Source organism: Homo sapiens, chromosome 4, assembly GCF_000001405.40.
Source record: "Homo sapiens chromosome 4, GRCh38.p14 Primary Assembly".
NCBI lineage: Eukaryota > Metazoa > Chordata > Mammalia > Primates > Hominidae > Homo > Homo sapiens.
Genome location: NC_000004.12, coordinates 23,866,240 through 23,878,251, shown reverse-complemented (window position 1 = coordinate 23,878,251; position 12,012 = coordinate 23,866,240). Strand labels below are relative to the sequence as shown.

General features: G+C 40.0%; 1 protein-coding gene across 28 annotated transcripts in view; it reads left to right on the top strand.

Annotated features, from left to right (window-relative positions):
- PPARGC1A (PPARG coactivator 1 alpha) overlaps positions 1 to 12,012 on the top strand; it is a 680,885-nt gene that overhangs the window by 594,654 nt on the left and 74,219 nt on the right. For 6 of the 28 annotated variants that reach the window (NR_148983.2, XM_047449548.1, XM_011513768.2 and 3 more), the window contains one exon: positions 387 to 538. The exons of the other annotated variants lie outside the window; for them this stretch is intronic. Coding sequence is in view for 5 of the 6 variants with exons in the window: in XM_047449548.1 (XP_047305504.1) it covers positions 410 to 538 (129 nt within the window). In the remaining variant the exon portion in view is untranslated. The remainder of the gene's footprint in view (positions 1 to 386; positions 539 to 12,012) is intronic. 28 annotated transcript variants of the gene reach the window in all.

Sequence of the window (12,012 nt, the reverse complement as noted above, 5' to 3'; positions counted from 1 at the left end):
TTTGGGATAGGAGAAACCAATGATTTCATGTCAGATACTCTAGGCACTCCAGAAAGTAAACTGGGACATTTTATGGGCTTATTGTAGGTTTTTCCAACCTCCCGGAGTCTCAACTGGCTCATCAAAGTTACTCTGCCTGGATATCTTTGGGGCCAAAATAGTGGAGACCCAAATTCACAAGGAGGAAATCTTGGAGCAGAATCAGGAAAAAGTGGCTCATTGCTTCTTAGATTTACTTCAAAGATAATAGTGTAGGTGAAAGTAATCACAAGGTTCAGGGTGCTGCATTGGACAAACTGTCTATTTGTATAGCAACCATGTGTCTGTGTGGAGACCTTATACACTTGCTGTGTTTATTTGTCCATGCCCCACTATCTCTACGCCAGGTCCTGGAAGCACAGCCCAGCAGATGACTCACCTCTGGATGGAATCAACACACAAAGCAGATAAAAAGCTGAACATTAAAGACCACATTGTTAAAGCAGAGAGCCAAATTGTTCCTCCACCATTCCCTATCCCAGACTTCACATCTAACAAGGTTAATTTGTCCCTATAATTATGTGCCTATTCTTTGAGTAATGAAAAATTTTATTGTGGGTTTTATAAAATGAATTGCCTGTGATGTAAAACAATTTCAGTAAGGGCCATTTTTTTTTCTTCTTCTTAACCTCTCAGGTTCCTTTTAACTTTTTTTTTTTTTTTTTTTTTTTTTTTGAGATGGAGTCTCGCTCTGTCGCCCAGGCTGGAGTGCAATGGCAAGATCTCAGCTCACTGCAACCTCCCCCTCCTGGGTTCACGCCATTCTCCTGCCTCAGCCTCCCTAGTAGCTGGGACTACAGGCGACTGCTACAACGCCCAACTAATTTTTTTTTTTTTTTTTTTTTTTTTTTTGTATTTTTAGTAGAGACGGGGTTTCCCCGTGTTAGCCAGGATGGTCTCAATCTCCTGACCTCGTGATTCGCCTGCCTCGGCCTCCCAAAATGCTGGGATTACAGGCGTGAGCCACTGCACCCGGCCTCCTTTTAACTTTTAAGACTGTGCGCTCAGAGGTACGTTTGAAAGCAAGGCAGCATCCTATGCTTTACTGTAGCTAGAATGAGAGCAGGGAAAAGGGGAGAGAGATCCACAATGAAATACACACTCTTATTCTTGGCAATGGCAGAGTTGTTTGAAGCTAAATGACTTCTTATCCATTAAGCCATTTGTCCCAAAGTGATGATAGAAGATACTTTTGTGCCTTTTCTTTTCCAAAATGATGGAGTGATTTGCACAGTTTCAGATTCTAAACACTAATATTTTGTAGACCTGCCCATCTCCATTACTACTGCAAGTTATTCATTCAAGGTTTGCAGCCAGATGGATTAATGAATTACCAGATCTTGCATAAAATGACTTGGCCTGACTTAAACAACTACTTTTTTTTTTCTTTCTCCTTTTCTTTTTTTGGGGGTTAGGGTGGGGAGCAGTCTTACAATGGGTGTTAATGGGCTGTAGAGGGAGTGAGCCCCCATTGAGTTTTTTTAAACTAGCTTTTTTAAAGCTTCACTGCACTTTTTCATTCTTTTCTGAACTTCTGCTCAGAAACCGTCAGTTCAAGGAGGAGCAATCAGGCTGGTAGGGCAGAGAGGAGGAAGGAGACTCAGTAGTCAAATCCCTGGTGGCCGATGCCCTTCCCTGCGCCAAATCAGCATGATTTATCAGAGCCCTCTCTTCAGCACAGAGTTGAGAGTGAGTTCCAGGGTCCTCCTCACACAATATGCATAGCTGGAGCTCTGAACTTTGAAGGAAAGCCTCAGAGCTATTTGCAAAATGCTGGTGCTTAGTGAATACTAAATTACATTTAGGAAATAGTCTACTGCTACCAGTTATACTTCATTTTTATTCTTGACACAGACACCTAAATCAGAGAACAGTAACATTTCAGAGATTATGGAAGCAGTTTGGGTATGCTCCAGCACTATAATAGGATCAGAATTTTAAGGCCTTTTGTATTATTACCAATAGTCACTTAGTTTCTACTGCAGTGTACTTTGTAGGGAATTACAGCTTTTACTAAAAAGATTAAAATGCTATTATGCAAATGATTGCAGTATGTTATTATGTTTACAAATTAACATCCATGGCTCAACACACAAATTAACTAACTATGCTATCTGTGTTATTAAGGATTTAATAAAGTAACTGTTAATAAAAATGGGTAGCTTGGAACTTTAGTAGAAAGCAATTGTGATTTAACACGTGGAACTTGAGCATTGTGTTTAATGTTCTAGGTGATATAATGGTAAAATAAAGTTGAAAAAAGCACATAGAAAAACCAAAACTGTGTGAACAGCAGAGCTGCTTGCCTGAGAGGCTGATGAACGTGAACTAAATAGCTTCAAGCTACAATGTACAGTGGGCAGCATAGCAATAAATCTAAGCAAAGCACACAAAACATCTTCTATTAATAAATAGTTCATTGAAATGATAATTACCCTCCATTACGTGTTTGATATGTTCCATACACACAGAGAATACTTATATTATTCTAAAATGGATCTCAGAGCAAATTTTGCTGTGGCGAATGGGATTTAGCTGAAGAATATCGCTGGGTGATAAAAGAGAAGAAGGCTGGGTTCAGACTAAGATGGCTTTACAAACAGGCTGCAAATTGCTATTCCGGGCTGTTCATAAGAGATCATAAAAGCAAGGAGATAAGAGCCGCCAAGGTCCCTGAGAAATGAATGTATGTGATTATGTTATCTCGTAGGTTGGATTTACTAGACAGACCGACAACACCTTCACTTTAGCCCAACAGGAAAAGTAGAAAGAGATACAGGTTTGGATAACAAACTTTGTTAGAATAGGAAATTCCAAAACACTGTAATTCAAATGTTTCAGAAGAGAGCCAGGATTCCAGTCACTGACTTCTGTGCTGGATCTCAAAAAAAGAGCTAGGGATATGACCTAATATTAAGCAAATAAACAAAAAAGAAACAAAAGAATTACAAGAACATCCTGGAGAACTAATTCTATATTTCAAATATTTTGGACTGATGTTTCTTAATTCTCAAATAAAGATGTTGAGGACTTCTAAGTCCACAAACAATTATCTTTTTAGGTCTCCCTATTGAGGGATACTAACTTGAACTTCTTAGTAGGAATATCTGGATGTGCTTAAGAAATGTACAAGCAGGGAAGACACCGCAAAGTTGGTCAAGGTTTGTACCCTTGCATACAATACAAGCAATTTATTTTGTTCCAAATAGCACCTCTGTGGTTGCAAAACTACTTATGCAAATTTTTGATATCTAGCTTTAGCAAGGTGCCTGGTTCCTTCATTTCATCCCACATTTGGATAAATTGTGTTGTTCTTCACTCTTCCAAATTTGTCCTTGTGGAAGCGAACACTTGTAAATTGGTTGAAGCTTGCTAAGAGAAAGAAAGGGAGGAGGTAGGGAAGAGGAGGAAAAAACTTGACCAAAAGCAGTTGCTGTGACAGCTTATGATTTGATGGTTTGTGGTCTTGTCCTGTTCTCAGGCACCTGATCAAGAAAGTGGTACAATCCTGCTATGCAGACATTCTGGAAATCTTGCCAACATTCACCTGACATGACCAAGGTTTAAAGTCCTTGCTGTAATTTTACAAAGCGTAGTGAGAGTGTGTGCCTGTGTATGTGCATATACACTCTCTCATATCCTTTTTTTTTTTTTAGGGGGAAAAAAGTGATCTTTGCCATAGAAGGGTGGTAAAATAATTAGTCCAATAGACAAATGTCTTGGCCCATGTTTAAACAGAGCTTTAAGGACACAGTGTTCCCAAGAGTCACATATCTAAATACAAACCAGTGTCAGCTGCCATGCAGACCAAAATGTAATAGCCTGCTTTCACATAGGTCATCGTCAATCCATTTTGGTCGCAGTCACACTGCACATCTGTTTCTGCGAGCTGCAGCTTCTTAAGGTGGCATTTGGACTTCATCAGAACACAAACAACCAAGCTATAAATTGCCACTTCTGGAGTTACTTTGAATAAGTGTATACTGTTTCATATTTATAATGGTGAAGCTTCATAATATTCACAGTGAATATGTAACACCGATCAGTTCAACAAGCATGAAATTGTATGTTGTCAACCTGTCACATAAATAGAGTCATATTCTGGCTTGCGATAATGTTGAACTAACATTTTTTCCCCCAGAATTGTTGAGAGGTTCACAGAAAAGTGAGGAGGTAGCATTTCCTTTGGGTAGATAACCAGTCAAGGCTATTGTAAAGTTGATATTACTGTTGATGGGTTCCTTTTCTCCCCTCCCTCCAAAGCACTAGCTTTTCTCGGGTGAATGCTAATTGGCTAATCTGGTGTGTTTCTGCTGTCATCTAACGGTATCATTTTCAGCTAGTACTTGGAGGCTCTTTTTGGGTTGTGTATGTGTGAGTAGCTTTTTTTCCCCTTTAAAACTTCTTTTTTTTTCTTTCTATTCTTGTAGTGCAAATCAGTGCTAATTGTCATGAAATTCTCTAACTATACTCTGGCAAGCTTTCTTGTTGCCTTTTCACCCCAGTTAACTCTTAATGTATTACTAGAGCATTAGGAAATAATGAAAGCTGGACATTTTATTCAAACTTAGTTGAGATAGAGAATCATCTAAAGAGATGCAGAAAAAAATTATTGAACCAAATTTGCACCTTACTAAAAAGATAAAGGATGAATGAAATGTGCTTGCCGGTAGCTACGGAGAAACTCAGAGACCAGTTTCCACAGTGGCTGATATTTCTGCACCAGAGGCATGGTAGAAACTGATGCAAGTCTGTTTTCACTTTTGAGAAATTCTTAGATGTGTTCAACCTTCCTCATCTTTCTTCCAATGGCCTGAAGACAAAAAGGCATTGCAATCTGTATTACCCGCTTAAGCTGCTAACTTCAACACCTTGAGATAGTACTTCAGTTTCTCTAAAGCACTATGCAATATTACAGGGGATTATTACCAACACTTTTCTTTTCATCCCATATCACTTGGGATATGGCTGGTCACATTTTTTTCTTTATTTTTTATTTTTTATTTTTTATTTTTGAGACGGAGTCTCGCTCTGTCGCCCCGGCTGGAGTGCAGAGGCACAATCTTGGCTCACTGCAAGCTCTGCCTCCTGGGTTCATGCCATTCTTCTGCCTCAGCCTCCTGAGTGAGTAGCTGGGACTACAGGTGCCTGCCACCATGACTGGCTAATTTTTTTTTTGTATTTTTAGTAGAGACGGGGTTTCACCGTGTTAGCCAGGATGGTCTCTATCTCCTGACCTCGTGATCCGCCCACCTCGGCCTCCCGAAGTGCGGGATTACAGGTGTGAGCCACTGCACCCGGCCCACATTTTCTTAGACAAGAACCAATTCACTGGCTAAAGCTCTCAGTTTCCAACTTTTGCAACATCGTCACATTTCTTCTTGCCTGTGGATTTTAAAAGTTCATCTCTCACTTATTTACTTACCCATTCATCAAAATATAATTGTCATCCATTAGCATGCTTAGTGTCTGGCCATTTTAGGGGGATACAGTGGTTAAAAGTAAACCTAGTCTCTGGCTCCATGAAAATTTTGGTTAGTGATGAAGACAGGCCTTTTACAAATAAGATAAGCTGTCTGTTTGAGGAAGTAGAGCAGGGAATTTCTCCATCTGTCTGTTACCCAGTTATCACTAGCAGATAAATTCTGCCCTTCTCCTACTTATTGTCTTTAGAAATGCCTTCACCTTGAAATGGAATTCTGCTGGAGAGCATTTCTCCTAGCTAGAGGAATATTCTATTCCAAACCAAGATCTGTCCCACTGCCCCAACAAATGCAGGGCAGTGGGACAGAATATTTGAGGTTGGAAGACCTGAAATTTATGATGTCCTACACACAGTATATTAAAATAACAGTTTGCTCATTGGAAGTGCTGGGTGGCCAGGGAGTGTGGAGGGAAAACAAGAGGAAGCCAACCAAGGGAAGAGAGCAAGACCGTCAGTGGAGAGTTCTTTAACCAGTGTGCAAGTCTGACCTGACCAGAGTGCTGTGCCCTTGGTGGGGCTTCTATGGATGAGAACTGTTTGGTACCATTTTAGGTCTGTTGACCTTTCTATTTGAGAATGGTATTTCAGTCCAGCTGGAAGGACTGACACGCTTTTTGCCTGTTTGAGACACTTGGTGTATGTGGCTTTTCTCTCTCTCTCTTGGATCCATCATCTCTAAGTGATAGCTCCTTGCTTCATGGGGTAATGCTATTCAGGGGCTATCCTGCACCCTTGGGAGAGGCATGTGCAGGAAGAATGCTACCGATCCCTTTCCTCTTCCCTCTGGAGGTACCAGGCATTACATCCCTACCAAGCCTTACTCAATTAGGTCTCTTTCAGATTCCTATAATACTCGAGCTTAAATCCTCTTCTCCACAGTTCTTTCTGAGAAATTTATTTCTGCTTTGAAACGGCTCTTGTATAGGGGAAAAGTGCCTCTATTATAGCACTGCCCTTGGTTTTTCCATGGGCTCTTGGCTTAAGGACATTAGCTTCCCTGGGTGCCATCTCATTTGCTCAGATGTGAAGTTAGAGCTTCTGTATTCCAGACATAGTTCTCCTGGGTGTCCAGGGATCCTTGCCAACCCAGATTCTCTCCAGATATGTTCCCATGTCAGAATCCTCTTGTGTCTTGCCAGCCCATACTTAGCGGGGACACCCTGCTCTCTCCTCTGAGCTGCATATCTCAGCATGCATTTTTCATTTAGGCAATGCTGTCTGATAGGCAGGTTCACCTCCTATTCCCACTGGAGAAGAGTCTGGGCAAATGCCTGAAAGTTTGAACACAGCAATGCCATATAGGATAAGTGACTTCTTTTCCTTGCTGGTCCCCAATTCCAGGGCTCTGCGTGCAACAGATTTGAGAGTTACATTAGGTCACAATGCCACTGTCTAGCTCCTTTAATCCTATCACCGGCAATCCCAGCAATGTAGCTGAGGTGGCTGCCCCTGTCCTGAAGGACTTTGTGTCAGTTTCTCCTGGGACAAATCTAGTCTGGACCACTTTGCAACATTTGTTCAAACTGAAAATTTTGACAAAGACATTCTGTTCACAAAGAGCCAACAAATGTTCTGTGTTTCGATACATTTGGAGGTTACAAAATGTTGCCTGGTCTTGGCAGATAACTAAGTCTGGGGACCCACATAGTGCAAGCCATGCCCTGTTTAATTTGTCTTTCAATGGCAAATGTGTTTCTTCTGTGATTCAGCATAAGGGATGATACCCTCCAATAGGACTGTGTGACCTCCCTGCTGCTTTTGTGGTATAGAAAAGAAAAAAAAAAAAAAACACGGATACCACTTTTTTCCTTTAGTTGCTGGTTTATTTTTATTTCCAGCTACATCTTTTATAGTTGAAAGAGAAGATGTATGTTCCATAGATAGTACGCATTTTTATGGTTATTTTTATAATTCATACTGGAAAACCTAATTTCTGTAGCCATTAAAAATTTAGGATTATTAATTGTCTGAAACATAGGTGAGAAGTACACTGTTTTTAAAATGTCTCTGAGAAGCCAAACTAGATTCAGAAAAATTCCCTCAGATGGAGCACATTTTATTCCCAGATACACTTCTTCACCCCTCACTTAACGCTTGCTTCCTTTTGCTTTACTTATGATTTAAATGAATCCGGTTGTCTAATGTTCTATTCAATATGTGATGTTCTATGAGCACATATGACATTTGAAGAAATGGTTTAGAAAATTCATGAAATGGTGACAGTAAAAAGATAATGGTGAGCAGTGACAACTGACCAAAAGAGACAAGACTACAAACTACAGAAAGTTGACAAACCCTGAAAATATGACAGTCTGGGGCCTTTTAGTTTGAGGGAAAATAATCCTATATTTCTCAATAGGTCCATACAGTCATTTTGCAATACCAGACAGTGCTACCAAAATCAATCCTCATAATTTTTAAAGTGGGGAAAATATGTAAATACGTGATTCGGAAATCTTTCCATAAAAAAGTTTTAATAAAAAGTTTGGTGCTTAAGCAAGTTAAGTTCTTTGATTTATCTGCACCAGTGCCTATGTGGATTAAAGCCTGATCATGTGAGGAAATAGGTGAGGCATATATACAAACACAAACACGTAGTTTTAGATCTAACAGATTTTAATGGAGTTTATATATTATCCTGTAAGTGTTTCCTGTGTAGACTTTGATAATAAAGAAGAAAATGCTCCATGAAATACCGAACTTCATTTTATAATCTGTTAGATTACATCTTCCCTTAAAAATACAGCTATTGAAATTTTCTTGAATAAAGAGACCACTGGATTCTTTTTCCTTATCAATAGTAAAGCTTTTTGGCTACAGGGACGTTGGTCAAGACAAATATAGCTCAGTAGAGTTATCGTTAAGTAAGCAATTTCCCACATTACTTTAGAATGAAATCGCCTATACTTTTCTCCTTCATGGCTTTCCGTATTTATCCTACCCAGTCCTCAAATAAGCCACCACCCCAGCAATGCACAACTCACTTGTAAATATTCATCTGGAGCATACGAAATCGTAATATCACTACAGAGACTAACTGCCCCCCCGCCCACCCCGCCGTGCCATTTTCCTTTGGAGACTCTTATAAATAAATGAACAACCTTAGAGCTTTCAAAACAGTCATTAAGATCTGCTACTTGCCTTTGGATAAAGAATTTCAGATAATGTACAGGACTGGGCTTCCTAAATCTAATTTCTGTCTAAAAACCTAGGGAATGCTGTAGCTGTATCTTCTCTATCCAAACTCTCTTGACTGATTCTGGCACCTTTCACCTGAGAATGCACAGCTCAAGATTCTCTATACGGACCCAGAGCCTTGGTCGGGCCACAACCCTTCATTAATATTCAAACTTTGGCAGTTTCAAAGAATGCTGCCCTCCTCGACCACTGTGAGCAGTCCAGCTCCCCTGCTACTTTCTCTCATGCTTATCCTTTGTACGAAGACATCTGTGTCTTTCCTCATGTCTCTTTCAGGAGTAATTCTTCCCCTTGTTCAATTTTTTCCTTTCTCTTTATGGCTGTCGTAATAGCCCCTGATACAGCCAGGCAGCCATGACCCTGTCCATCACTCACCTGCAAGCTATTCTTGAACCACTGGATGGTCCCTGAGTGACTAGATTAATGGTGCCAGTGGTGAGCCTTTTCACCTGACCTTTCATCCAGTGACATACAAGCTGATTCCAGGCTGTGTGCAAGGCTGGCTGCCCTGCCATCTCTGCACCCTCCATGAAACCAAGCAGTGGAAAGGAGAGTATCCATGCAAATTAAGTGCAGAAGCAGGGATAAAATAAGGTGTGCAGTTGGGAGTTATCAGAAATTAAATCTGTCTTCCTTTGAGTGCCATTGGAAATGAGTCTTAAGGAATGAGAACTGAAAGGAAACTTTCCATAGACACCATTTCCATAAACGGTATTGTCACAATATGCTATTTTAAAGACTGGTTGTTTTGGTCTGTGTTTACATTAAGCCTTTACCAGGCATGGGATAAACTATTAAGTCCCGAAATTTAGGAAAGTATTTGTGGCCGTCTTTGGCACAAAGTGAATTTTTGTTGTCACATGTGCAAAAGAGCATCTTTTTCTTTCGTTAAGGCCTTCGAATTGTGGTTCAGCTTTCTAAGTAATAGCTTTTTGGCTAAATCTCTCAAGGTGCATTATAAACTGCATGAGGGAAAGAGGGACCTCATCACCTCCTCAGTCCCTAGCACAAAGCTGTGCACATTAAAACTCTCTCTAGTTTTTGTTAATGGACAGATTTACAGGGGCTCTACCAAATTCAGAAAGAGAGAGAGAATATAACATGACCTTCCCAGCCATTCAGACCAATCATGCTAAAAATAAGACATATCCAAGATCTGAGAACATGTTCTCCAAGAGATGGTTTATAAACAGAGCCAATAGTGACAGCAGTATGCTGTGTGTCTGCCAGAGTGTCTGTGAACTTACCCCCTAACTCAGCTACAAGACTTGCTGTTCAGATGAAGATATATGGAGTTGGGAGACATGTGGTTGTGTTAAGCGAATGTGCATTGGCGGGTAAAGGCGCTGCTATATGTCTACTGAAGACATAGAGCATTTACTCTTCTCTCCCCGAGAAGAGGAAAGGGCTCTGCCACTCAATGAAGAGCTCAGGAACAGGTACCTTACCGGGGTTCCAGAGCATGAAAGTAAGTGTGTCTCTGTTCAAGGAACCCGCTGTTCCCAGGAAGCTCATGCAAATGCATGGCCACAGCTTCCCAACACGCTGTTCCCAGCACTGTGCCCGTATTTCCTGGCTGGTTTTGACCCTCTCAATGGATTCAGACTTAAAATTTTTGCAACTGTTTTTGTCGTTGTTGTTGTTGTAGTTTCCTCGTTTACGATTGTAATGAAAACAGTTTACCTCTTGTGGAAAAGTGTGCATGATTGTACAAGTTTACTGTGCCATACTTGTATCGCAGTTGCCTTATTTTTGGAAGAATCAAGCTTAGGGGCTAGAAAGAAATCCTGGGCTGGGGAATGATGGGTAATTTCTCAAGGCATTCAGATCTTTCAGAAGTTGTGAATGATTCTGACCTTACTTTCATTTATAGTCTGTGATCATTGGAACCAGGATGCAAAAATAGCAGAGAGAGGATCTCCTTCACCTTAATTCCCTGCCCTTTTCTGGTATCTGTAGTACAATTGACTATATGGACATCACTGCTATTTTAGCAAAAGCTGGTGAGTTATCTTTTTTAGACGGGACAGTCTACCCAGTCCAGGATTTTAGTCTGACTGTCATGTTATAATTCAGTATGTTCCTATGCAGGATGCTCTAATGCAGAGACTGATTTCATTCATTCTTAAACTGACCCATTTATCAACTATTTTAAAAAGCAACAACTACATGCTAGGCACTAATTTAAGTGCGCATAATACAAAGATGTATTAAGTACATAATGCCTACGACACAGAATTTTCCCTTCAGGAGTTGGTTGGCTAGTGAGAAAGACAGACTTCGGCAACTAATTATAAAATAAGGGGATGCATTCTGTATTAAAGTCAGAAATGAAGTACCATGAAGACACACATAGAGGAGTAAAAATGTCCGTGAAAAGGGTGAGAAGAGAGGAAATTTGATAATTGTTGCTAGATTTTTTTACTCGTGAGTCTTCAATAAGTCAGAAGTTAAATACCCTCTTATTTATTTATAAAATTTAGCAAACTGCACTTCCCACCTCTTAGGAGGAAGACAAGAAAAAGGATACACATAGTAGGTTCTTAATAACATTTGAAAATAAATTTGCCTTCTAACAAGTCCCGTCTACATTGCACTCCGCAGTTCAATGGCTCATTAGGTTTTAACAAAAGCAGCGCAGCAAAATAAGAAGGATTCTTGAGTCAAGCACCCCCGGGCGGTATCTCTGAGAGCAAATGTGACAAATAGAATCAGAAATGAATTAAATAGTCAGCTACAGCAAGCCAAGCTAAAAAAAAAAGCTCTGAAATGACCCAAAATGGAAACGTATTACAGTTATCTGCATTCACAGTACCGAACAAGTTTGGTCGTATTTAAGATAATTCTCTAGTGCCTGCTATTTTTAGCTCAAGGGTAAGCTCCTGTAAGAGTCTTTCGGCATTGCATCCCTTTAACCTGGCCTAACAAACTAAGCCAATAAGCTGTCTGATTTTCCTGGTCCATCAGGGAGGAAGAGAGATAGCTAAAACAAACCATTTGCGGGGAAAATGTTCGGCCTATCTTGTGTTAAGAGCTTTTTTCATATAGATTTTTAAAACATCCCAATATTAAGTGTTGCCTGTCAGAGACCAAAATGTCAAGCTTTGCTGTTTTGAAATTGGAGGCTCATGGTTATAAAAAGAGGATTTTATAGGCCTAGTCTAATGGAAATAAACATTACTCCATTACCTTCAGTAAAACCAAATCTTTACAGTTCAAGCTATCATTATTAATGTCTATGAGAAGAAAGAAATGTTTCTAGGGCTTTATTTATTTTTTTTAGGTAAAGA